Below are 26,420 nucleotides of genomic sequence, written 5' to 3' on the forward strand. Positions count from 1 at the left end.
ATAGTGAAAATTGAATTCCCAGCCTTGCAGGGTGTCTTCTGTTAAAGTGAGAACATTGATTGGGAAGGAATGAGATCCTGAAAGTTAGCATGGGGATGTGTGGGAAGACTGATGAAATTGGGAACACTGAGCCCCTACATTCTGATGAGTCTTCTTTGCCATTATAAGCATCCTCTCTGCCCCCATTCAGAGGAGATGAACTTTGCATTGACTGAGGAGTCTGTAATTGCCTCTCCTGAGGCAGTTGCCTTGCAAGACTTGCTGATTCTCATCAGGACCCAACCCCTCCACCCCTCTTTGCTTCTAGACCTGTAACTAGAGTCAAGTCCCATCAGGCCTCTAAAGGTGAGGCACAACGTGTGGACCATGAAGAGGTGGTTACACTCCAAAAGAATGACTTGATTTTTCTGGAAAGTATATGTAGGAATGGATATTAAGGGTGTGGGATACTGGTGGAAGAAACATAAAGTTGGGTCAGGCTACATTTATTGATTTGGGCCCACTAAGCAGAAATTCTGCATTTAATGTTGCAGCTTGTAGGGCTGGAAAAAACTCTACTATTTGTTTCATTGGTTGGCTGAAATGTAGACCAAAATGTGGCCCATAGTAAATGAAGTCGAAATGCCAGACCTATGTTGGTTTATGGTAGAGGAAGAGATTGAAAGGCCTAGGAATATTTGCATGTTAGAGCGGATTTTTCATTTCAGACTTACTCACCCTCACTTGGAGGGTTCAGAGGACACATCTTTTACCATGACTATGTGAGTTTTTTGAGGGGATCCTCAGTGTTCTTAAAGAGATCTGTGATTACTGTGCTCTCTGGAACAGACCTTACAGTGTGGACTGTAGTCATGGAGTTGCAATACCTAAATGCAGTGGGAATAATTGGATCCCAGGGTGCAAGGGCCAAGTGGTGGCACTCAGTCACCAAAGGCAAGGGGAGTGTGGTTATTGTAGTGGACAGCAGAGGCAAAGCAGAAATCAGAACAGTCTGACCTATGTAGACCTGTGGTACTGGCTAGTTCATTGTGGCATTTTTAGAAATGAAATAAATAGGAGGTCTACTAAACTCTTACTTGATCTGTATAAGAGTAAACTTCTAGGTCAAGTGAACAGAAGTCTCATGAAATATAGAAACAGAGCATCATGGCTTCTTGGTCAATTCCCAGACTTGAGCCAGTTTACAGACCCAGAAACCCTTGAATGAAAGGGAGGCTGAATCTCCTTGAGGAGGGACCCCAGTACACTGCCAAAAATTTATACCATTAATCTTTCTCTCAGTGTTCCCCAAAGAGACCTGTGGGCTTTTACTAGGTGACTGTGCATTGGGGAAAGGAAAATAGTCAGACCTTTTGAAGATACTTGCTCTGAACTGACACTAATTCCAAGAGACTGAAAACGTCACTGTGGCCCATCAGTCAGAGTAGGAGCTTATGGTGGTTAGGTGATCAATGGAGTTTTAGCTCAGGTCCATCTCACAGCGGGTCCTCAAGCTTGTTCTGTGGTTTTCCCCCCAGTTCAGGAATGCATAATTAGAAGAGACATCCTGAGCAACTAGCAGAATCACCACATTGGTGAAGAAAGGATCATTGAGGAGAGAGACTGGAGGTGGGAGAACCCATAGAATGTTATTGGAGAAAGAAATATGCAATTCCTAAACTAGTCTTTAGAGGTAATAGTAGAAGCCATTTGAGTGTTTTGAAAAATTGAGGTTTTTATGTAGGCCTTAAAGACATTTCTGCTATAAGCACCATTATTTTCTTGTACAGTTTATGCAAGGAAGAAAACCCTTCTTAACATCAAGAGATTTACATCTTTACACAGTGGGCTGCGTTTATTATAATACAGTCGGTGAATTCATAGTCAGAGGGTTGACTATTACAAAGCTTATGAGTAAATTCACTTTTCTGTAACTAACACACAATGAATAGAAATAAGTTTTCTACAGTCAACCAACCAACCACCTAGCCAGCCAACCAAAAAGCAAGCTCCGTACTCTCAAGATTAAGAGCAATTTCACAATTAAACCACCGGGGGTTAAAAAAAAAATCTCTCGAGGAGAAGTTCTTGCACACAAAACACTCATTTTATCATGTGAGATACAGATTCAGTATGGATTTAGCTTTGAATGTGACACTTTCCCCACTTGTCTACTGCTATTTTTTGTGCCTTTCAGCTTATTCCAACATCAGAGGAGAGAGCCTACTACCAGTCTCAAAAGCACTTGTGTCAACAACTTTAAATTATTAACTCCTTGTTGAAACTTACAGTTTCTGAGTTATTGGATTTTGATCAAGATTTAATCAAAGATATGTGGAGCTTGTGTAGATTTTAGTTTTACTGGGAATAAACAGGAATGTCTGGAAAGAGAGGGAGATGCAGAGATAGAGAGGGGGAGAGAGAGAAGACCGGGCAGTAGAGGATGGTTCTTAGCTCCCAAGGATGTTGGGAAAATTAAATGCAATTACCCCTGCTAACTGCCGTAACTACTTTGCTCAGGATCTGCACACAGTAGGTGCTTAGTCAGTACTCATCCTGCTCCCCTGATCCAACTGCAAAACCTGATGTTTTAGCTTCTCAGTTGTTTCAACATTGATTAAAGCAAGGATGTCTCAGGACATTCTGTCCACTTTGCCTGCAGAATATCTCCCTTGGCAATGTCACCTTCAAAGACTTTAATGAGTTGTTTTTCCTCCACAGTTAAGTGCACCCTTCTGGAAGACCTGGTAAATGAAAGATGTTTAGTAACTACCAATTTGCTAATTATCAGAATAAACATATGTTATTTATTTATTTGTATTGATTCACCTATATTTATGCTTATATTTGCTTCCACAATGGAAAACTTCACCAAGAACAAAAAAGACCCATAAGACCCTTGACCCACATGTTGGAAAATATGATCTTCCAGACCACAGAAAGCACAACAGAAATGAATGGGAGGAATTCTTAAGTAAACTGGCATATTTACTGAGAATGGAGGTGGAAGTTGCAGAGTTGGGAGTGGGCTGGAAATATATAAAACTCATTCCCTGTACAAGTATATGTAAGCTTTTGACCTTGGTGGCCCAATGAAGAGGGTTTAGAGATGGATCTTTTATAGAATCATAAAGGACTTTATTCTGGTTATCTATTATTACATATCAAACAAGCAAGCAAACATATACTCCCCGTAGAACCAAAACCTCCATGCCATTTACTTTGCTTATAAATCTGCAGTCTGGGCAGACACCTGGCCCCTATTCCACTTGACATTACCTGGGGCAGCTGGAAGGTGGGGGCTGGAATCATCGGAGGGCTCACCCACACAAATATCTGGTACCCAAACTGGAAGACGCAGATGGCTGGGGCTTCTTTTGAGCATCTCTCTCTATCTCCATACGATCTTTAAATGTGATCTTTCCAACATGGCAGCTCCAGGGTAGCTGGATTTTTTTTTTTAACCTGTTGGCTTGGAAAGAGATCTTGAGAGAGAAAGACAAGCAGAAGCCTTTTGTGACTTTGCCTCAGAAGTCAGGCATGTTATTTCCTTGAATTCTATTTGTTGAGATAGTAATAAAGACCAGTTCAATTTCAAAAAGAAGAAATAGACTCCATCTTCTAATGGAGGAAATGACAAGGTTCTGGAGAGCATGTGAAACCAGAAATATTGCTGAGCTATGTTTGTGCAGTATGGGCAGTTCCTGACTTTCTTTAGAATGAGTCCTCTGTGTGGCCCCTCTCAAAGTCATGCACTATTGACATGTTGGGCTGGACAATTCCATGTTCTGAGGGGCCGTCCTTTCCATTGTAGGATGCCTAGCAGCATCCCTAGCCTCCACTCACTAGATGCCTGTAGCACCCTGCTCCCAGTTGTGACAACCAGAAACGTCTCCAGGTATTGCTAAATGTCCCCTGGGGGGAAAAATCACTTCCAGTTGACAACCACTGCACTAGATGAATGTCCTTAATCCTAACTGCCCAATAGAATCACCTGAGGAGCTGCTGATAAAAAGCACAGGCTGTGCTCTGGAATAACTAAGCCAGAATGTCTATGGATGAGTCATGGGCATATACATTTTTTAATAGCTCCATAGTGACACTATTGTACAGCCAGAGTAGAGAACCACGTAGTTTATACAAAGACTGTGTATCAGTAGGAGCTGCTGAGATGTCAGGGTTTTTGCTTAAGACAAAGACTGTGTATCAGTAGGAGCTGCTGAGATGGCAGGGTTTTTGCTTATCGAGCTGTATTAAAAAGTAGGAACGATCCCCACATGGCTTCCTTCCTGTATTTGCGATGATGTTTGGAATATTTGCACATATCTTCGGTAGCATGAAAAAATGGAACTGCATTAAAAAATCTTGTACAGTGCTTTACAGATTTTCAATGGTTTTCCTAATCGCTCTTATTTGGTCTTTAAATGACTCTGTGAGATGAGTAGAGTGATAGTCTGTATTTATGCAATGAGGGGAGTGTTGCTCAGAGACCTTAAGGCATGAGTGCTGGACCCCAGTTCCTAATGTGATTTTCCTGTCCTGTGTTGCCACTCATTGTTACTGTGGGTTCCTTTATATGAATGAAGTTGAAAGGTTTATTTTCTCCCATACAGACTTCTTCATAGAAAGCAAAAGAAACTGATACGAATAAATCAGTTGTTTCCCACTGTCTTATATAACCTGTTCCTTTTTTTCTAATTTAAAATCAAATTATAATAATTATACTACTATCACCACTACCAAGAGTTATAATCTGATAAGCTCTTTCTTTGCATCCATTTTGTACTAGGTATCTTACATTATACCATTTCTAACCTTTATAATGACCTGAAAGACAAACATGATTTTCACTGTTTAACAGATGAGAAAACATAGGCTCTAAGAGGGTAAAGTAACTTGGAAAAACTAGTCAGTGACAGATCTAGGATTTCAAAAATCCAGTTATATCTGACTTCAAAGTCTGTTGCTTCTCCTTTATCTTGCTGTCCCACCCCTGGAAGACTTTTCCAGGTGCGCATTACACATATAACCTTAAACAACTTCTATGCAAAATGCATGACTCCAATAAGATGCAAGTGTGAAGTTGGCATTGGCCTCTCAGGGTGCTGGAGTCAGTGCCAGCCCATCTCTGTAGGCGAGAGAGGGATGTTGTTTGTGTCTCAGCCAGTGGGTGTAAAATCAGCACCCAGCTGATTTCACTGGAAGGGGAAACTGCAGGGGTCTGCAGTGATCCCTGAGGCTAGACTGTCAGCCTAGAATAGGCTGCCAGAGAGCTGAGTGGTGACATTGCCATCCTTTGTGTCAGGGGCCCAAGAGATGATCCGTCACTAAGTATGGAGCAGAGCAACAGAGCACAAAGAATTTCCCGCATCCCTTCCGCCAGCAACCCGGTCAGACAGAGAACACTCGGGTCCTCGGTGGAGCTCATGACTGCCAGCTAAAATGACTCTTTGAGGCCAGTGGGTGTAAAATTCCTCTTTATTTTGTAAATCTTAACCAGCACTAGCTCAGATGAACTGATTTTCACTTTGCAAAGGTTTGATTTTAATTTCAGAGAAGAAAGCTGGAAAGTCACAAATATTAGCAGGGATGGAAGAAAGGGGGTGTGATAGAAGGTCCTGGAAATGTAATAGCCTTTGAAATGCCCCATGGGGTCCACTGAACAGGCTGGATGTGAACATCCTCTTCTCCGTGTGGGCTGGCCTGGCTGCTTGAATGTGTGGAGTGTACGCTTTCTGTTTCACCACTGGAGATTTTGCTGACTCAGAGGCATTCATCAATCTCTGCTGGGGATGTGCAGAAAATAGTCCAAAGAAGTTTTGTCCTTGCCTTGTCCTCTCTGCCTCACCTCTCGGTGGGTCCTAGAAAAGGAAGTCTTGTGCTCGAAAGGAGACATGGTAACAGATTATAAGGTATAAGGCATGAATTACAAAGTTATAGTACCATCTAATATTAGAAATGAAAGAAAGGAAGGAGACCTCCTAGCATGCCCTTCGTTTCTGACTTGAAGAAACTGAGCCCCAAGGAGAAAGTGACTTGGTCAAGGTCATATACTCTCAGACCAGAATCTGGGACTCCTGACTATTGGCACAGAATTCTTCCCCCTGTGCCAAGTTGTCTTGCTGTTTGCTTGTGAGGGATGATTATTTAAACCAATCAGATAGAGTCTTTCATTAGTATGGTTTCTTTTTTAGAAGGCAGCATGTGTATAGGGTGCATTTGGCTTCTGGTAACAATAGCTTTGAATCATAAAGATACTCATTATTTATTGATCAAGAATTTTCAAAGTAGGTGGTACCAGAGTTGGTTCGATGACTCACTGATGTCAGGGCATGAGGTTGGCATGTCTGCGATTCTCTTTACTTTCCATGGTGGTCACAAGATAGCCACCATAGCTCTAATCTAAGTCCCCCGATAATGGCTTTCCAATCACCTGGCAGGTGTCCACCAAGTCTTATGGCTTGCCTGGATTAATCACTGGCAAGAAGAATTGGATGAAGAGGACCTTGTTGAATGAACTATGATTGATCCCTTAGGGTTGAGTGTGTCTGAGGAGGCAATCTCTCTGAACACGTTTAATACCTGAACAAAAGCCAGGGTTCCCTTAGCAAGGAAGAAGAGGGAAAAGGGCTGTTGGGAACATGACCAACAGAGTCTATTGCAGGCACAAGGTTTTTAAAGATAGGCTGTTTGACTTCATATCTTGGCTACATCACTAACCCTATCATCTTACACAAGTAACTTAACCTCCCTAACCTTGGTTTCTTAATGTGTGATATTAAAATACTATTAGTACCTGCCTACAGAAGCATTGTGAGGATTAAATAAGATAAAGCCCATAAAGGGCTCATCACAGTTCCTGGCACACAGTAAGGATCCAGTAAATATGAGCTGGTATTTGTATATTTTTAACTTTTCACTTTATTCAGTAGCTCCTTAAAAGAGTCAACTTACTCACGGGCTTGTTTACTGATGAACAAGAGGTGTTAGTCCCTCCTGTCCTGTCATGGAGCCAACATTTTAATAAAGAAAAAGGCTAAAAAACCCCAAAAAACCAAGATGGCTCTCTCTGACCTCCATTTTTCCACTGGCAAGAGTAAAGAAGATTCTAGAATTCAATGTATTCTTGGTAAGCTTCCCAGCATTTTTTCTCCCCAGTACTACCAGCCTTGCCACCAAGATCAGGACTAATTTCATTATGCTCTTTATCCCTGTATGTCAATCACCGTGAGAGGTTCATGTCTGCCAGGACACCCCTTACCATCCACATTTGCATTCCCGTATGACACTGTACATGCCTCCGTTCCCCTATGTTTCCCCCTTCTCCTCTGAGGATGTTAATTAGCCCTGCAGCCTCAGATGAGTGCTCTTGGCCCCGTCACAGCCTCCACTCTTGTACCATTGCTCTTTCTTGCTCCCCCTGGACATTTCCAGGCCATTCTCCCTCTCTCCTCACTAAAAGATCTCATATTCGAATCTCTTGTCATCAGAGAGCATCACTTACTACACATTCTTGTTGCAGTCATCCACTGACTGGGCCATGTGCTCTCATTCCTGGAGAATTTTAGTTCCAGGTTCATCACGGTCACATTCCAACCATCTCTCTATTATTGTCCTTGGAGATTTTAATAAGTGATTTCCATTATCCTGGTCTGTCGTTTCCTTAAAGTCCTCTCCAATCTTTAGACTTTTAACCTCTTATTACCCCCTTGTTCTCACCACATTCCTCACTGAGCTTAATGTCCATGTCCATAATCACAGTCACTTTCTGTGCGCATCACCAGCTTCCTTGCACCTCTCTTACTCTGCTGTGTTCCCCACCCCTGGTTGCATCCGACTTTTCCTCCATCTGTCCCTAAACCCCGTTGCTGCACCTGGGTGGTCAGGAACACAGAACATACAATGTTGCCCACTGGCCTCACTAAATTGATGATGCAGAGCCTCCAGAGGATCCTTTGTGCTGCCAGCCATCATCCTTCATTTCCCTCATCCCTTCACACTCTCCTTGATGGTTATTTTGTGTCTTATCCACTATTTTCCAATTTCCAGCATCTCTTCCTCATCTTCACTCTCAGATTAATAAACTCAGTTCCTCCTGAACTGAGAACAACAGAAGTAACCGGAGAAGAACTTCTATAGCCCCTGTTATCACACCTACCTTCCTCGCTGCCTCTGTGCTGACCCCGTATTCTTGTGACAGTGGAGGAGGTGTGAGGCTCACTGGTCTCCCTGTATCCCATCCCCTCTCACCTCCCCAGAACATCACTTTTGTAATCCTTTTTCTCATCATTTTGTAACTCCTCCTCATCAATATTTATCTCTCTATGGAATCATTCCCACCAGCACACTACACATTTCTTCAGTCTTGATCCCACACACATCTTTTCTATTCCCTTTCCAGTAAAATTCACTGAACCCAGTTCCTCACTTTCTGTTCTCACTTGAACCCACTTTCAGTAGAATGAATGAGTGAGGACGTTTCATCTTTAAGCAGGAGTTAATCCTCGCCTCTTCAGAAACCTGCTCTTGTCTAGATCACTCTTGGCCTCCACTTGCTCAGTTCAGCAGTCAGCTCTCATCCTCAGCTTATTCACCTGTTCACAGCAACTCTAACGGTTAGCCACTCTCTCCTCCTTGATGCGCTTTCTTTATTGGACATCTAAGCTACCTCTGTCTCCTCGTTTTCCACCTGCCCATTGGCTGCTCCTTCTTGTTCTCCATCACTGGTCTCTCTTCATATTCCTGGCCTTTAAATGTTGGAATGTCTCAGTGCTCAGTCCTTGAATCTCTTGTGTATTGCCAGTCACTTCTTTGGGGATCGTGTTTGTTGTCTGCTTTCATTACCACCTTTCCTCTGGATGCCACCTTTAAAATGCATCCAGAATCCAGCCACTTCTTACCACTTTCCTCTACCTACCAACCTGGCCCAAGTCATCAGCGTCATTCACTTGAAATACATGTGGTGGCCTGCTAACTGATCTTTACGATTCCACCTGTTGGAGGGAGAGGCTATTGAGGATGGATGGTCAGGGAAGGCCTCTTTGAGATTTCGCCTGAAATATGAGAAGGAGCCAGCCATGCGAAGATCTGAACAAAGAACATTCTAGATAGAGGAAAGAGCAGTGTGAAGACTCTGAGGTGGGAGAGAGCATAGGACATCAGTATCCAGGGGTTGCTTAATACTTGATAAAAGGGTGAATAGCAGAATAAGAGTAACCGTCATAGGATGAAGAGATCTGACCCAGGAGTTACCTATTATTTTTTTAAATACGAATACTCACTTTCTGAACATGCTATTAAAGGCTGCACAAATCTCTGTCACACAGGGTTCTCAAATAGTAGGTGAAACTACTGTTTGGCTAGTAGTGTTTTAAAACTCAGAGATTTTATTTAGCAATCTAGATTTCTGGTTCTTTTTGAAACTGTAGGAATAGGGTCTATCTTCTGTAACACAGCAGTTGGCTGAAGTTAGGTGGTGGCTGCTCCCTTTAGACGGGCATGTATTTCTCAGTCCCCACACTCCCTATTAGGGATGTCTGGAAGTATCACCCATTTGTATAACCTGCCTGGGCCCTGTTGGCATCTGCTTTTGCCCTCTTATGAGACCCCTGGACTATTCCTATATCTCATCAGACACAATATTCCACCCTCTAGCAATGACCACAACTTGGTCTTAAGTGAAATGGCAGAGGCATCACTGAGCCTCATTGGGTTATGATCCTATCTGAGATGCCCACAGTGCCCAGGAGAGCTATCAGAGGTGTCATACCTCCACTGGCCCAGGTGACACCTCCTCTTACCCGTCTCACCTGGAGTCATTCTGGATTGGAGGCACCAAAAGGGAAGCTGCTTTTCTGAAACATCTCTAGTGTGGTGGTATGTGAGCAAGGCAATTTCAGGGTTCTTGAAGTATCCTCAGGGAATCTGTCTTAATGCCTCTTCTTTTTAGCCTGAGAGAAGATTAAGGAAAGTGACAGATACCCCTCTGCCCCAAGGCTAAGGTGAGCCCCAGTCAGAAACCTCACTGTTGTCTTAAATCCTTTCTATTGCAGCTGCTTCCACTGTGGCTGTGGATATGTCTCTACTCACCAAAGACACAGCCAGGAACCTGGGGTCTGGGTCTCCTCATTGCTCACTGCTTGGCCCAGAATGTTGTCTCATGGTTTCATCTTGGTTATCCATCTCCTGCGATGATAAAGTCTCTAGGTTGCCAGGCAAAGTCTTTAGTTTCCCCTGTATATGGTTGGAGAGAGAACTTCTTCCTGATTTAAGGCTCTGTCCTTAAATCCAATGCTGCTGAAGCAAGGGGCTTCTGTCTCTCAGACTCCCTGATCTGCCTGTAGACCCTCACCTCTGGGCCTATTGGACACATTCAGAACCTAGAACTTCCAGGAGGGGCGGTTCTGCTCTTCTGCTGTGCTGTGGCTCGCCCTGAGCTGAGGGGCCAGGGCAAGTGAGAATGTTGCATCCTCAGGCAGAGTGACAAATGCCTCACCCCAACCCTGCTGTCCTTGAAGAGTATTAGTGTATCTTTCTTCATGGGCTATGTCATAATTTGGGGCATTGGTGACTCACTCAACTATAATCCTAGGTTCTTTCATCAGAGATTGGGAAAGTTTACTTATACTTTAATAATTGTGGTCAGAGAGGAAATCTCTTAACCTCAGTTTCCTCATCTGTTAAATGAAGCCATTAATACCTCCCTCACCAGGTTGGAATGACAAATTGAAATTATTATACATGTGATCTATCACAGTGTCTTACATATGGCAGGAGATCAACAAATGTTAATTCTTTTGTCCCTTCATTTCTCCTCTACACATTTGTATCCAAATATCTTATGTGACATTTAGGAAAGAATTCCAACTACCAAGAGAATGGACAAGTTAACCCACTTCTGAAGATTCCTTCACTTGAGTTTACTGGACCCATAAAAGACTAGAAAAGTCGAACATGGTGATTCTAGATTGGTTTCCACTAGACGACATGTTAAAGCCAAACCTTTTCGACCCAAAAGAAAGTGTTTACTCATCCAGAAGTTTCCAAGCGTCCAGATGCCACATAAACAAAGCACCTGGCTGACTTACCCAATGCATCTTATTTCATAGGGTGTGCAGATGGATACCCTGATGTTCCTCCATGATTTAATACCAAAGTGAGAGTTCTTTGTGGGATTCCCATATATGTTAAAACATTTATCACATTTACCACTTTGAGGAACTGTGAATCCCATGCCCTAGTCCAAGAGAATACTACCCTTCAAGGGGGGTATATTTGGTTGAGTAATAAATAAATGGAATGGAAATGACAGGAATTACTTTTTAGAGATGTTATTATAGATGCAATGGAAATGGTTTAGTTGGAAGATGCTGATTTTTATTCCTGCAAAGCATATGCATACAGTCAAATAAATATTTGAGTCACTGCAGGAAAAAGAAGCTCATAATCCTCTCAGGATAATGAATGCATTTAATTTCTACATATTCAAGCAAGAAAAAGGTTAGAAGTGGTTTATTTGTCTTTGGTTAATTGCTAAATAAAGAAGCTCACCCAGTCAGGGCCTCTTCTTTCTTGTCACCACGGTAAGCCAGTGCGGTCTGATGGTACATCTTATCCTGCTGCCTCTGGTGTGGAGAGGAAATCTTCTGTCTGTGTGAAAAGCATCTCTAAAGCTGAGAAGAGGTTTCTGATATCTGCCAGCTCTCTAGAAGGATATTTGGCATTGTGTCTCAAGAGCCACAAACTTGTTGATCTCCTTCGATCTCATGATTCGATTTCTTGGAATCTATTCTGAGCAAATAACTAGAAACACCAACAAAGACATATGCATAAAATATTCTTTGCTGAGTTGTTTATTAAGTGAAAAGCTAGACTATGAAGCTTTCGAGACAGAAAGATTTCTATCGTGTAAATACAGTATGTAGTTATACACGTACCAATACAAATACAAAAATAAAGCCTGCTGACAACAGCTGTCTCTGAGTGGTGGTATGATGAATAGATTATTGCTTTACCTTTTATACATTTTGGGGGGTATTCCTCAGATTTTCTTACAGTGAATAGGAATTACTTTTAGATTGTTTTATTTATTGAACAAATATTAATGGAGTACCTACTATGTGTACATCTCTGTGCTAGAGACACAGTGTCGAACTCTCCTCAAGCAAAATCAACATGGTCCCTTCGTCCAGGAGTTTACAGTCACAGGAGTTTGGCAAATATCAAACAAATAAATATATAACATCAAATAGAGACATGTGATACAAAGGAAAAGCAATAGTATGCTGCCAAAAGACTATCAGGGACGACTGAAATTTGGAACAGGAACCAACAAACTGTGGTCTACAAACCTATGACCAATTTTTTTTTTAACATTTTTAAAGGGTTGTAAATTTAGGAATAATAATATGATGTGACAGAGACCATAGAAGATTGGCAAAGTACATTTTACAAGTAAAATATCTATGCTCTGTCCCTTTATAGAAAAAGTTGGTGGAGCCTTAGTTTGGAACATCAGGGATGCCTTTCTAAGGAGATGACATTTAATGTGGGAACTGAAGAAATATGAGTTAGCAAAAAAAAAAAAAAAAAATCCCCCCTTCAAAGTCTTGTTAGAGGAAACTTCGAAAATATTTTTCAAAAAAAGCTTTTTATTGGAAGCTGGCTTCTTCTCCAGGTAAGGAGAGAGGGAGGTCTATTTAAAGGGCATACTACTAAAAATAAGTTTCCTATGCTATTCTCTATCCTTTTTCCTCATATTCCTTTAGTATATGATTGGCTTGTTTTTAAAATATCACCATCTTATTTTTATTTTTCTAATCCTGTGGCTTTCCAAGGTCCTAGACAATTTTAAGCTGTACTGCTAATAACATCAATAGCAGCTTTTATTAAATGTGCATTTACTTTGGTGCCAGGCATTTTGCTAGATACTTTAAATCCACTCCCCTATATAATCCTAACAACTCTGCAAAGATGGGCACCGAATTTTACAAAGATGTAATAGTGGTCAGAGAGGCTGAATGGGCTGCCCACAGGCATGCTGTGGTAGTCATGGAGCCAGGACCATGGCCCAGATGTCTCAGTCTCAGAACTGGGCTCTTTCTTGCATGGTGCCTGTCACTGCAGGCTCCTCCCTCTTCCAAGGAGGGGTATTCTATTTCCTTTGTTGTGTTACCACCAATTAAAAGTCTTTTCCACTCCACCACATCGCTCCTCCTTTCAACCTCCTCCTCCTCCTCCTCCTCCTCCTCCTCCTCCTTCTTCTCCTCTTCCTCCTTTGCTCTGCAAGTAGCAATCCTGGTTTTCAATTTCCTCAAAAATCTCAGTATATTAAGGGATCATTTCCCTAATATGCCACCGAGCTTGTTGAGTGAAATTGAGGGAAGATTGAATTTCTGGCTTTCTAACTAGTTCCTTATCTGCTTCACACTAAGGTAATTTTTGATAACTCCACTGCACTCTAATTTTCCAAATGTATTTTTTAAATTTCTTTTGCTAAAGACAGATTTTAAATGAGTCTAATAACATAGCCATTCCAGAGACATTGTTAATTTTGTATTTCCCTTCCCTGGTGATAGGCTCATTTTTCCTTCATTCTTCCTTTTCCTAGACTTCAAAGACAGCATTTGAGAAGCTCTTCTTATTCTCTCTGGTACCTCCATGACCTTGGACAGTGAGGTTTAGTAGTGAAAGCACAAGGCCTGGAGCCAGGAGACCAGAAATGCAGTGCCAGCAGGTCCTCGGCCAGCATTGAGGTTCTGGGCAAGTTATTGACCCTTTCTGGGGCTCAGCCTCCTCGTCTGGTAAAACTAAGGGGTTGGATTCAACATCTAACTTGTAAAGTTTTTCAATTTGTCTAGGTGTCTAGATCAGTCATGGGATAGTCAGGAGACAAATCATACCAGTTACTTGAAAAGAGAGATTTTAATGTAAAAATTATTAACAGGATGGGTGAAACGCTTTTGAAAAGTTTCACTGAGGTAGCAAATGCAGGGAGAAGCTACCTCCCCTAGGGCTTGGAGAATAAAGGAAAGAGATTGGAATGATTATAACTTAGAATCTTGAAAAGGGGTTCCATAAAGCTGCAACTCAGCTCTCTTAAGAGAGGCCCTGGCTGGCAGTTGCTGGTGTTGGAGAGGAGAATGAAGTGCAATGTGGCCTCTGCTAATTGGATGCAGCTGCTATCTAGAAAGGAATTGCTGCAGTCAGGCTGAAACCTACAGGGAACAGAAAGGACAGGTGCTTTCTTCTTTCCCCAGCCCTGAAGCCTCCCTCTAGCGCCCTCTATTGGCAGAGCCTAGCAGAGAGTGGCTGGCAAAACTGACCGGGATTTGTGGACCAAGTAAGGTCTAGGAGGGTGGCTTTGGAGCTGAGGGACAATAATTTCATAACTGCACAGTGTTCATTGCTAAGATTGCAAACTGGTAGGTTAGAAGCCACTTTTTTGTTAAGGATATCTTTATTATTATTATTCGATTCTTTTTAAAGTCATTTATCATAGTCGTACATATTTTGGAGCACCTGTGATATTTTGATCCATGTGTACAATGTCATAAAGATCCTTGTCACGCCTGTAATCCCAGCACTTTGGGAGGCCGAGGTGGGCGGATCACGAGGTCAGGAGATCAAGACCATCCTGGCTAACACGGTGAAACCCCGTCTCTACTAAAAATACAAAAAATTAGCCGGGCGTGGTGGTGGGCGCCTGTAGTCCCAGCTACTAGGGAGGCTGAGGCAGGAGGATGGCGTGAACCCGGGAGGCGGAGCTTGCAGTGAGCCGAGATCGTGCCACTACACTCCAGCCTGGGTGACAGAGCATCTAAAAAACAAAAAACAAACAAACAAAAAAATGCCTTGTATGGCCTTAAGTAGTTTAATCAAACATTTGTGTCTGAGTTTATGTTTTTAATCTGCATATCTTCTTCCTTGGAAATCCACAGTACTTCATCTTTCATTATTTACATTTTTAAAAAATTAATTTAAAATTAATGAATGGGAAGGCAACTTGGAGATCATCTCTAGTTCAGTAATCGGTTTATAAATGAGGTGATTAATACCCTCAGAAAGTGAGAGGTTTTGCTCCCAAATCATACAACTAGTGAATGAGATCTTTGGGTTCCAAGGCCTGGATTCTCATCATTATTTACTGTTTACAGGAGGACAGATGTGCTCTAGCCTCTTGCTACTCAAAGTGTGGTCCCCAGACCAGCAGCACTGGCCTCAGCTGGCAGCTTGTTAGAGATGCAGAATCTCAGGGCCCATCTCAGGCCTGCTGGATCAGTATATGATTTTAACAAGATCCCCAGGTGATTTATGTGCACAGTAAAGTTTGAGAAGTGCTGAAGACAGCTTTATTGAAGTAAAAGAAAAAATAGACTTTTATTGGATGCTAGTGTTTTTCTCTAGGGTGGACTCAGGGTGTGGGGTGTGGAGACTAGTTCTCAGCAAATCTCTGGAGCACTCCTCTAAGTCTCTTTTCCCTCTCCCTGCTTTCAGTTTATGGGCCCATACACATACATGCAAACACCCATGTGCACACACACAATCACACGTGCATGCATCCATACATCTACGTTTTCACACACACACACACACACACACACACACACACACACACATGTTTATGATCTGGCTTCTGTCCTACCTTCTAGCCTGAACCCTCACCAGATTCCCCTACATGAACTATGCTCTACTCACGCTAGGCTACTTACAAGAAGTTGCCCGAACATATCAGACTTTCTTTTTGCCTCAGTCACCAAATGGAAATCAGACTAAATTCTGTTTGTCTTTCAAGAACAGCTCAATGTCTTTCTCTTGGAAGCCTTCCCACATTGAGTGAATTATATCCAAGGTTTGCTCTTCTTCTGGGTTTTAATAATACCTGACAGATACCTTTATTGAGCACCTTTTTTCTCACTCATAGATAATCATACATTTTATTGTTTATCTCCTTGAAAGGATGGAACCATTCCTCACTTGACAAGCAATACTGGGGGTGAGCAGATGAAGAAAGAATGAACTAATGTAAAGAGAAGGAATCTAACAAATGCTTATCTGTAAAGAGCAGCAAAGTGTAATAGTTAAAGGATCGAGTTGGTTTTTTGAAAAGATAAACAAAACTGACAGACTTTTAGCTAGACTAAGGAAAAAAGAAGGCTCAAATAAAATTAGAAATGAAATGAAAGAGAAGGCATTACAACTGATACCACAGAAATATGAAGGATCACAGGAGATTATTATGAAAAATTGCACACAACCAGTTGTGTAATCTGGAAGAAATGCATACATTCCTAGAAACATGCAATCCGCCAACACTCAATTATGAAGAAATAGAAAATCTTAACAAACCATTAATGACTAAAGAGATTGAATTAGTAACCAAAAACCTCTCGACGAAGAAAAGCCTAGGACCTGCTGGCTTCACTGTTGAATTCTACCACACATTTAAAGAATAAGTAATGCCAACCTTTCTCAAACTCTTCCAGAAAATTGAAGGTGAAGGAATATTTACAAACTCATTTTACAAATCCAGCATTACTCTGATACCAAAGCCAGAGAAGAACACTACAAGGAAAGAAAATTACAGGTCAATATTCCTGATGGACACAGATGCAATAATCTTCTACAAAATACTAGCAAATTAAATTCGACAGCACATTAAAAGGATCATACACCATGATCAAGTGAGATTCGTCCTTGGCATGAATGGATGTTTAAACATATGCAAATCAATAAATGTGATACACCACATTAACATAATAATGGATAAAAATCATATGATCATCTTAATAGATGCAGAAAAAGCATTTGACAAAATTCAGCATCCTTTCGTGATAAAAATTCTCAACAAATTAGGTATAGAAGGCCACATATGGCAAGCCCACAACTGACAATCATAATCAATAATGAAAAGCTGAAAGGTTTACCCCTAATATCAGCAACAAGACAAGAATGCCCACTCTTGCCACTTCTATTCAACATAGAGCAATTAGGCAAGAAAAAGAAATAAAAGTCATCCAAATCAGAAATGAAGAAGTAAAATGGTTTCTGCAGATGGCATCTTATACATAGAAAACCCTAAAGACTCCACCAAAAAATTGTTAGAACAAATAAACAAATTCAGTAAAGGTGTAAAATAAGAAACCAACATAAAAATAGTAATGTTTCTATATGCTAACAATGAAGTATCTGAAAACAAAATCTAGGAAACAATCTCATTTACAATAACATTAAAACATACTTAGGAATGAATTTAATCAAAGAAATGAAAGGTCTTTATACTGAAAACTATAAGACATTGATGAAGAAATGGAAGAAGACACAAATAGATGGAAAGATATCCCATGTTTATGAATAGAAAGAATTAATATTGTTAAAGTATCTATACTGCCCAAAGTAACCTACAGATTCAATGCCGTCCCTATCAAACTTCCAATGGCATTTTTCATAGAAATAGGAAAAACATCCTAAAATTCATATAGAACCACAAAAGATTTGGATAGGCAAAGCAGTCGAGCCAAAAGAACAAAGCTGATAGCACCACACTACTTGCTTTCAAATATACTACAAAACTGTAGTAATTTAAAACAATGGTAGTGGCATAAACACAGACATATAGACCAATGGAACAGAATAGAGAGCTTAGAAATAAATTCACACATTTATGGCCAATTGATTTCCAACAAAAGTGCCAAGAACACACCATAGGGGGAAAAACAGTCTCTTCAATAAATTGCGTTGAGAAAACTGGATATTACATGCAGAAGAATGAAACTGGACCCTTATCTCACACCATATACAAATATACTACATTTCCTTAAGGCTAGACATTGGTTGTAGCTTGAAGAAAGGTCCTTCTTGGATGGTAATAACATAGCCAGCCTTGCTGGCAATTGCTGTTTTTCACTTCTACCGTGTTCTTCCTTCCTAATATCCACTTTGCCACACTTTACCCTGGAAATTCTCTCCTTAAACATAATCCACCAGTTGAGGGCTTTTGCAACACAAAGACTTTCCTTGCTTAAAAAATTACAACATTTCCCTTGTCTGCAGATTATGTACCTAAATGACTGGTCTTACAGCCATCTCAGTTTTGGTTGATCTGTGTTAGTCTGTGTATATGTGAGGCCATTTTTAAGATAAAATTTGTAAAAAGTCATATTTGTATAGCACTTCCAATTTGCCACAAATATCACATTCCACCATTTTGTGTCTATGACACAGAAATTCTAGGATAAATAAAAATGAACATTGTATTTTGTAAACATTGTATAGTCTTAATCTTTTGTCTTTTCTCTCTATTCTCTCCTCTCCTCCCCCTCATTGCAGGGATGATAGTCTACTTGGGAATGATGGCGGGCGCCTTCATCCTGGGAGGCCTGGCTGATAAGCTGGGAAGGAAGCGAGTCCTCAGCATGTCTCTGGCCGTCAATGCCTCCTTCGCCTCCCTCTCTTCCTTCGTGCAGGGATATGGAGCCTTCCTCTTCTGCCGACTCATCTCAGGCATCGGGTATGTTCTTAGGGAGGTGGAGCTGGACCATCCCAGACCAATGGCCCATCCATTCTGGTATTCTAGCTCCAAGAGGTAACTCTAGAAACCCTTGGACTGACTGAGTTTTTGTTTGACTTTCAGGATACTATATTAAAGTTGAACCTTAGAAAGAGTTAGGGTTAGGATTAGCCTCTGAAGTCAGCATGCAATGTCAAAATAATCCAAGACTGCTTCCCACATGTAGAGAGGAACTAACTGGCCGGTCTCTCAAATTCACTGGGTCCTTTCACCACAGAGCCTAAGGTGGGGTATAGGCAACTTGGTTTCTGCTGTGACCATTTTTAGTGTATGACTTGATTCTTTCTCTCTGGCATTTTTCCTTTGCAGTATTGGGGGTGCTCTACCGATTGTTTTTGCCTATTTTTCTGAATTCTTGTCTCGGGAGAAGCGAGGAGAACACCTCAGTTGGCTGGGCATCTTCTGGATGACTGGGGGCCTGTACGCATCTGCCATGGCCTGGAGCATCATCCCACACTATGGTGAGTCATGGCTCCAAACAGCCTAGGGGGCCCTGTTTCTATGGCTCCTGCACCCAAACAATAGTTCCTGTCCTCAGCCTTATTCCATGTACTCACGCACAGTTCCCGTACGTGACCTTGATCTTTCTTAACAACTTCTAACATTGCAGACACATTGTTAATTTCAATTCAATGTCTTTTTTGAAAAATATATCCTGTCCTCCCTCTTTTCCTCCTTCCTTCCCTTCCTTCATTCTTCCCTTTCTCCTTCCCTCTCTCCCTTTCTTGTTTCCTTACTTTTATTTGAAATAATTTCAACCTTCATCTCCTCCAGCCCTCCTCCCCCTGAGCAACTTGGGCTTTGGTAACCTGATTTAATAGATGACAGGTATGTGACAAAAGCCAAGAGAAGTTGGTGACTTGCTCAAGGCCATGTCCCTGGCATGTGGTGGAGTGGGGGCTGGAGTCCTGATGTCCCCTCAGGTGCAGTAGGCTTGTACTCTTTCTGCCCTGGTGCCTGCTGTCACTCTTGTTTGGCCGTGACAGTGCAGGAGCCCTTATAGACAAGGTCATGGTTTCAGCCGGGACAATTTTATTTTCCTGGATAATTGTAAACACTATTCTCTGGACAGAGACCTGGCAACATCAACTTTTACTACTGGTTTCGTCAAGAGCAAAGTAGGGAGAAGGCAGCAATTTTGACTTTGATTCTGCTTTTGGAGTATACTTAGTAATACTATCATCATCATTCAAAATCATTTTTGGTAAATCACTGATTATGAGTATAGGTTCAGCAGTGGTTTAGAATCCTCAGACCCCGAGGGGGTAGCAGACAGCTGCCCCTGAAGCTGACTGATAGTTTACCACCTATTTATTGTCTTGTTTTAAATATGACCCTCTCTGCTGTGCTTTCTCAGCTAATGGAGGCTGCATGTATATGTTTTTAAGAACAAGCTTTGGTTTAGACAGTACCTACTGTATTAGTTAAGGTGTTGGACACTGGGTACATTACCTTGACAAGCTGATAAACCCTGAAATCTCAGTGTTTTAACACAGTGAAAGCTTCTCCCTTATGTGAGGTCCGGCTGGCATTTCTAATCTGCAGGTGGCTCCGCTCCATCAGTAATTCTGGAGTTTAGACTCCTTCCATTGTGTCATTCTGTCATCTTCAACCTACAGCTTACAAGGTCTCCGGTTTGGGGAAAGAGAATGGGCAGTTGTAGATTGGCTGAAGGCCAGGAAGTAGAACACACTCACCATTTCCGCTCACATTCCAGTGGCCCCCAATCTGTAACATGCCCACACTCTTCTGCAAGGGACACTGGGTAACAGTTTAGCTGTGTGCCCACAAAGTAGAGGAAGTGGGTTTGGGAACACCATGTTGTCTTTGCCATATCTAGTACTTGAAAATCCACTGGATTTTATATCAGAAACAGAAAAAATATGAAAAGGAATAGTGAAATAAAGAGTTGAAGAGTTTTCCAGCCAATTCTGTCATTCTAGTTCTCCATAATTTTAGATACAAAATTGTATTACTGCTACTGTCAGGTTCTGCAAGATATCCCTCACTCAAATGCACACTTTAATTGCCCTTGTACTATGTACTATGCTGTTGATTATATGGTTTTGAGGCATTGCTTTCCTTTTTCTTTTTTTCCTCACAATTCTTGATATAATATCATTTTCTCTGTTAGCTGGTCCAAATGTTTGAATACTAAGGGATTATTTTCACTTCTTTTTTTTTTTTTTTTTTCTGAGACAGAGTCTTGTTCTATCACCCAGGCTGGAGTGCAGTAGCATGATCTCAGTTTACTGCAACCTCTGCCTCCCAGGTTCAAGCAGTACTCGTGTCTCAGACACCCAAGTAGCTGGGATTACAGGTGTGTGCCACCACACCCAGCTAATTTTTGTATTTTTAGTAGAGTCGGGGTTTCACCATGTTGGCCAGGCTGGTCTCCAACGCCTGACTTCAAGTGATCCACCCGCCTCAGCTTCCCAAAGTGCTGGGATTACAGATGTCAGCCACAGTGCCCGGCTTATTTTCACATTTAAATGAAGTGATTGAAAAACCTTTTATGGAGGGAAGCAACTGAAATCTAAATAAAAGCTGAATCCAAATAGTGGTGCTGTGTGATATGGGACAAGTCAATCCATCTTTTCAGCCTTGGTTCTTTTACCTATAAAATGGAGGGGAGAAGTGACACAAAAAGAATCAGCTCTAGATATACCTGCCAGCCCGAACCTTTGGCAATTCTTGAGGTGCACAGAGGAATGAATGTTGAGAAAAATTCCAAGATAATTCTAGTACTCAGACCAGCTTCCCTCCTGGAAGCATTAGCAATACGAGGCTTTCTGTTTGCAGACTGCTTGTTTCATGGGGAAAGCCCGCCCTCACACTTGACCAATGAGAAAGGGTCTTTGATTTCCCTCTGATTGGATCAGCCTTGGTCATGTGTCCACCTCAGCCAACCACTATACACCAAGAGATGCAGATCCGGAAGGGTTTAGATCCACTTCCTTCCCCATCCCTGGAGCTATGGGTAGGGTCAGTCCCACCCAAACCACAGGTGTGCAACACAGTGGTGAAGAAAAGGCAGGAGGATGTTGTGAGGGAAGCTGGCAACCCACCTCTTTTTTTCACTTCACAAACACACACACTTACACAGACACACACACTATTGTCTAAGTGTGTGACTTCTAGGAAAGCAATAAAAGAATTCAGGTTGGGGACATGTTGACCAACATAGATGGGATGTCCATGGCAGAGGGGCCCCATGGTAATTGTCTGACCACTGCGGGCTGACAGCAGGGCTTGTGGTTAAGTATTTTACCCCAGATGAGATGATTATTCTAAATTAAGTAACTCAGGAATGGAAAACTAAACATCGTATGTTCTCACTCATAAGTAGGAGCTAAGCTATGAGGATGCAAAGGCATAAGAATGACACAAGGGACTCTGGGGACTCGGGGAAAGGGTGGGAAGGGGGTGAGGTATAAAAGACTACAAATTGTGTGCAGTGCATACTGCTTGGGTGATGGGTGTACCAAAATCTCACAAATCACCACTAGAGAACTTACTCATGTAACCAAACACCACCTGTTCCCCAATAACCTATGGAAATAAAAAATTAAAAAAATTATTTTACCCCAAATGGACAGGACATTTCCCTATGTGTATGCCTGTATGATATCTGTGACTTTTATATTCCATTTTAAAATAGAAGCCTCTTGGATGATCAGGCTTAATTGAAACAGGCGTTCACTTGGGGGAAATCCATCCTAGAAATATGGTAGACTAGAATCACAGTGTAACAAGAGCCATTATTTATCTTAAGCCTCAGATGTTTTGTCCGCAGTGAACCAGACATTTGATGGTATTTTCCAATGTGCCTAATGCATTAATCTTCTAACAAATGCAAGTGTAGCTTTAGAGAAGAGACTGATATTTGTGTGTACAGCTTGTGTAACCTGTTTAATTGATTTTGCAAGAATGAAGTAAAGGGAAGTCTTGGCACCAGGAATTTGAGTGATTGGCTCATTGAGAAAGAAAATTACAAAGCTCAGAATGTTTTCCTGTGAACTCACGGGTAAAGCTCAGAAAAAAAAATGGATATATTATGGAAGATTAATTCCCATTGTAGTCAGCATTACCAGCTGTTTGTGAAATCCTGACAGAGAAAAGTAGGGCAAGCTAGAAGATCAGCAAACAGAACAATCCCTTCCTCCAAATTAATATTGTTCCAAATATTTGGAAGCAGTTTGCCATTTAATTTTATTTAATTTAGGGCCCTGAAGATGTGCCTAATGAATGCGATAAATGCAGATTACTGAAATCACCATAAAAGCCATAGAGGCGTGAAGGAATAATGGATTTTGTATAATTTGTGCATATTATCATAAAGAAAAAGATCTTTTTGAAGCAGAATACTTTATAAAGATGACTGCTTCTGCCCCTCTTCCCTGGTTATCCATCTGAGTTTGACTGCTGTGTGGTTTCGATCACCTTTACTTCTAATGATGCCAGAGTAGTTTTTGCACGTGAGCTGAGAACGTGTAAATATTGCTATGGTTTTATCTTCCTCTTTCTAGTGTTACTCCCAGGAGAAAGGAAAGGCTTTTTAATTAAAATTAAAGTGAACGAACAAACCTCAGTGAGATGATAAGAGACCAAGCTGTGCAAAAAGAGATTTGATTCTGATTGAGTGTATTGGATGAGGTTTGTGTTCAGTTGCTGTGGTCAAAGGTGTCCAAGGGACCACAGTCCCACATTTCCACACCGGGATTCCCTCTACCTAGTCTTTTAATTGTACAAATAGTGTAGAAAATGTCTGCAGGAACAGCAGATAATTGGTTAGGAGTCTGCTGCGAGTAGAACAAGTTGAACCACAACGGGGAGTAATAAAAATTCAAGGCAAGCTGTTTGCCACTGGAGTTGGTCATATGTTATATTTCTAGGTAAATGAAATAGAAGTTTTATATCCAAATAACTATTGCCCTCTAAACTTTATAAATTGATATATTTATTTACATAGTCTTGTCTTTCACAAATACCATTTGAATTGTCTTCAGAAATACTTTATGGCATGAGAAAACCAGTCTATTTTATAACCTCGGCTCTATTTTTTAAAAATTCTTTTGCTGATCTTTGCTGATATTTATCTATTTTATTCAACATCCTTGGCACTAAATGTCATGGAGCTATTTCTAAAAAAAATCAATGTACTCTCAAAGCAGGTGAAGTATAATGGGTTGCTAGGAGCGTTCACACATGACAAATCTATGGAGGTATCATTACCTGTATTCTACAGCTGCGAAAACCCACCAGTGCAGTTCGATGGGATCAGACCAGAATTTGAACTCTGATCTCTGTGACTGCAAAAGTCTAGGCTCTTTCCACTTTATTACTTAAAAGAGGGAAGTTTGCTACCCATGAGGATATTCAAAACAATGCTTGAATGTAATTTCTGAATATGGGTTTTAGCAATGCTTTGAATAATGATGATTGAATAGGAGCTAGTTATCTTCCCATTTCAATGATGATGGGATGCATTGGAATGTAGAAGTTCAGTCCCTCATTTAAAAAAATTGTGTAGCCGTATAACAGCTTACAGTGTTTTTCAAAATGTGGTCCTGAACCCTTTGCGCTGGAATCACCTGGAGCTGGCATTGCCCTTTGACGTTGGAAAGAGGGATCACCAATAGAAGCCCTGGGTCGTATGAGGCCCTGCTCTGGCCTTCCTCTGGCTGCACCCCTTCCCATAAGGCAAGGCATCTCTGAGGCCTTGACCCCCATCCCCATCTTCATCCAGATTATGCTCTGGGTGCTCAGGACCCAGGAATTCCCATAGACTCAAGAAATCAAGACAGGAGTGCCCATTCTCATCACAGTGGTGTGTCCACGCATGTCTGCATGAGGTCCCTTATTTGGAAGGAGGAGGTGGGGGATTGAAAAGGGGATGTGGCATATGTGGGTGTAAATTCTGGGCCTGGACTTCTAGCTTGTTGCTTGTCAAGGCAGGCAAATAGAATATGTTTCCTTTAACAATCTGCCATCTTAAAATATAATGATTCTGTAGAGATACGGGCTATTGTTTCTGTTTGTACTCTTATCCGAGGCTCTGTAAATGTCAGGCCAGGCCTGGACCTGGGGATTTGTCAGAATGCAGAATTCCTGGGGATTTGTCAGAATGCAGAATTTGCAATGTGAGAAATATCATTTTGCAGATTTGTCAAGATGCAGCTCCTATCCCAGGCTTATGACTCAGAAGCTTCGGAGGCACAGCTGAGGAGTCTGCATTTTAACCACCTCCCCGGGTGACTCTCTTGTGCCCTGAAGTTTGTGAGCCAGGGCTTCAGAGTCACTCTTCCGTAGAGGAAAAGATCATGTCCCAGAAATCCTTTGACTGACTGCTCCTTTGCAGGCTGGGGCTTCAGCATGGGGACCAATTACCACTTCCATAGCTGGAGAGTGTTTGTCATCGTCTGTGCTCTGCCCTGCACCGTGTCCATGGTGGCCCTGAAGTTCATGCCAGAGAGCCCAAGGTTTCTGCTAGAGGTGAGTCAGTGCTTTTCCACCAGGGGGAGAGTGACAAAACAGCCACAGGAACCCAGCCTCGCTTCCTTCTCTCAGCTCCTAGTCCCACATCCTCTGCTGCTTATGTGTTGCAAACTCTCCCCTGGTCGGCTGACCTCACTCATCATTGAATCTGGCACCTGCCGGCTGTGATGGTGGCAGGTCATGGATTCACGGACTGCAAATGCTGGATGGTTCAAGAGCTTGTGGAGCCCAGAGCAGGAGCTCTTTCCCAAGGCTGTGCAGTGGTGGAAGGGCAGCTCCTGAGCTGCCTCATGGCACCCACTGTCCCCCGAGGTCCTGATTAGGAAGTTTTTTAGCCTGGGCTACACAGGGAGACCTCATCTCTACAAAAAAAAAAAAAAAAAAATTAGTTGAGCGATTTGGTGCGTGCATGCCTGTGGTCCCATCTACTTGGGAGGCTGAGGTGGGAGGACTGCTTGGGCCCCAGAGATCAAGGCTGGAGACAGCCATGGTTGTGTCACTGCACTCCAGTCTGGGTAACAAAGAGACACCCTGTCTCAAAAAAATAAAAATATAAATAAATAAATAAATAAATAAAGGAAGCTCTTTAGAGCTGCTGGTTTTCCGTGTTTGGCACTGAGAGCTATGGTACAGCTCGTTGCTGCTCCTAAGCACTTCAGGTCTTTTAGCTACACAGGGTCCCCAGCCACCAGACAGCTGCATCTGTGTCCTGAGAAATGAGTCCCATGAGCCTTCCAACAGCAGGGGAACCTCCTGCTTGCAGAAGTCAGACAGTGCAGAAGCAGGCAGAGGGGCAACAGGACCTTGAGGCTCTTCCAGCCCCAATCTGCAGAGTCCACCTATCTGCCTCCTTCCTAAGCCATGTGCAGAGTGATCCTCCATGTCCAATGTCCGTGTTCACCCCTTTGATCAGGAGGCAGATGCAACAGGGAGTTTTGCACCCTTGGTTGGATATGAGTGTCCTAGGGCTGCTGTAGCAAAATGCCACAAACCGAGTGACTTAAAAGGACAAATTTATCTCACAGTTTCAGAGGCTTGAAGTCCCAAATCAAAGCAGCAGCAAGGTCATGCTCCCTCAGAAAACTGTACGGGAGACTCCTTCCTTGCCTCTTTCAGATTCTGGTGGTTTGTGGCAATTTTGACCATTCCTTGGCTTGCAGCTGCAACACTCCAGTCGTGGCCTTCATCGTCACATGGTGTCCTCCCTGATGCCTCTGTGTCTCCATATGGAGGTCTTCCTATAAGGGCAGCAGTTATATCGAAACAAGGCTCCACCTACTCCAGAATGTCGTAATCTTAATTTAGCTAATTGCACCTGCCACGACCCTATTTCCGAATAAAGTCACTCTCTGTGGTACTGGGGATTAGCACTTCA

The 26,420-nt window shown here is 42.1% G+C and overlaps 1 protein-coding gene and 1 long non-coding RNA gene across 18 annotated transcripts in view; one reads left to right on the forward strand and one right to left on the reverse strand.

The window, feature by feature from the left end:
- Positions 1 to 26,420, forward strand: part of SV2B (synaptic vesicle glycoprotein 2B) — a 202,978-nt gene that overhangs the window by 133,925 nt on the left and 42,633 nt on the right. For 14 of the 15 annotated variants that reach the window (NM_001323031.2, NM_014848.7, NM_001323032.3 and 11 more), the window contains 3 exons: positions 18,307 to 18,487; positions 18,857 to 19,008; positions 24,909 to 25,042. In NM_001323031.2, the coding sequence (NP_001309960.1) occupies positions 18,307 to 18,487; positions 18,857 to 19,008; positions 24,909 to 25,042 (467 nt within the window). The remainder of the gene's footprint in view (positions 1 to 18,306; positions 18,488 to 18,856; positions 19,009 to 24,908; positions 25,043 to 26,420) is intronic. The other variant, NM_001323033.3, reaches the window with a different exon arrangement.
- On the reverse strand, positions 5,440 to 12,565 carry LOC105370972 (uncharacterized). 3 transcript variants are annotated; one of them, XR_007064761.1, is made up of 4 exons: positions 11,530 to 11,662; positions 10,069 to 10,164; positions 9,789 to 9,929; positions 5,440 to 5,840 (listed from the first exon to the last, which is right to left on the reverse strand). It is a non-coding gene; the product is annotated as an uncharacterized LOC105370972 (long non-coding RNA). The 3 variants fall into 3 exon arrangements; XR_001751656.3 differs by having other exon boundaries at positions 10,069 to 12,565; XR_007064760.1 differs by having other exon boundaries at positions 5,440 to 5,860; positions 10,069 to 12,565.

Source organism: Homo sapiens, chromosome 15 (genome assembly GCF_000001405.40).
Source record: "Homo sapiens chromosome 15, GRCh38.p14 Primary Assembly".
NCBI classification, from domain to species: Eukaryota; Metazoa; Chordata; class Mammalia; order Primates; family Hominidae; genus Homo; species Homo sapiens.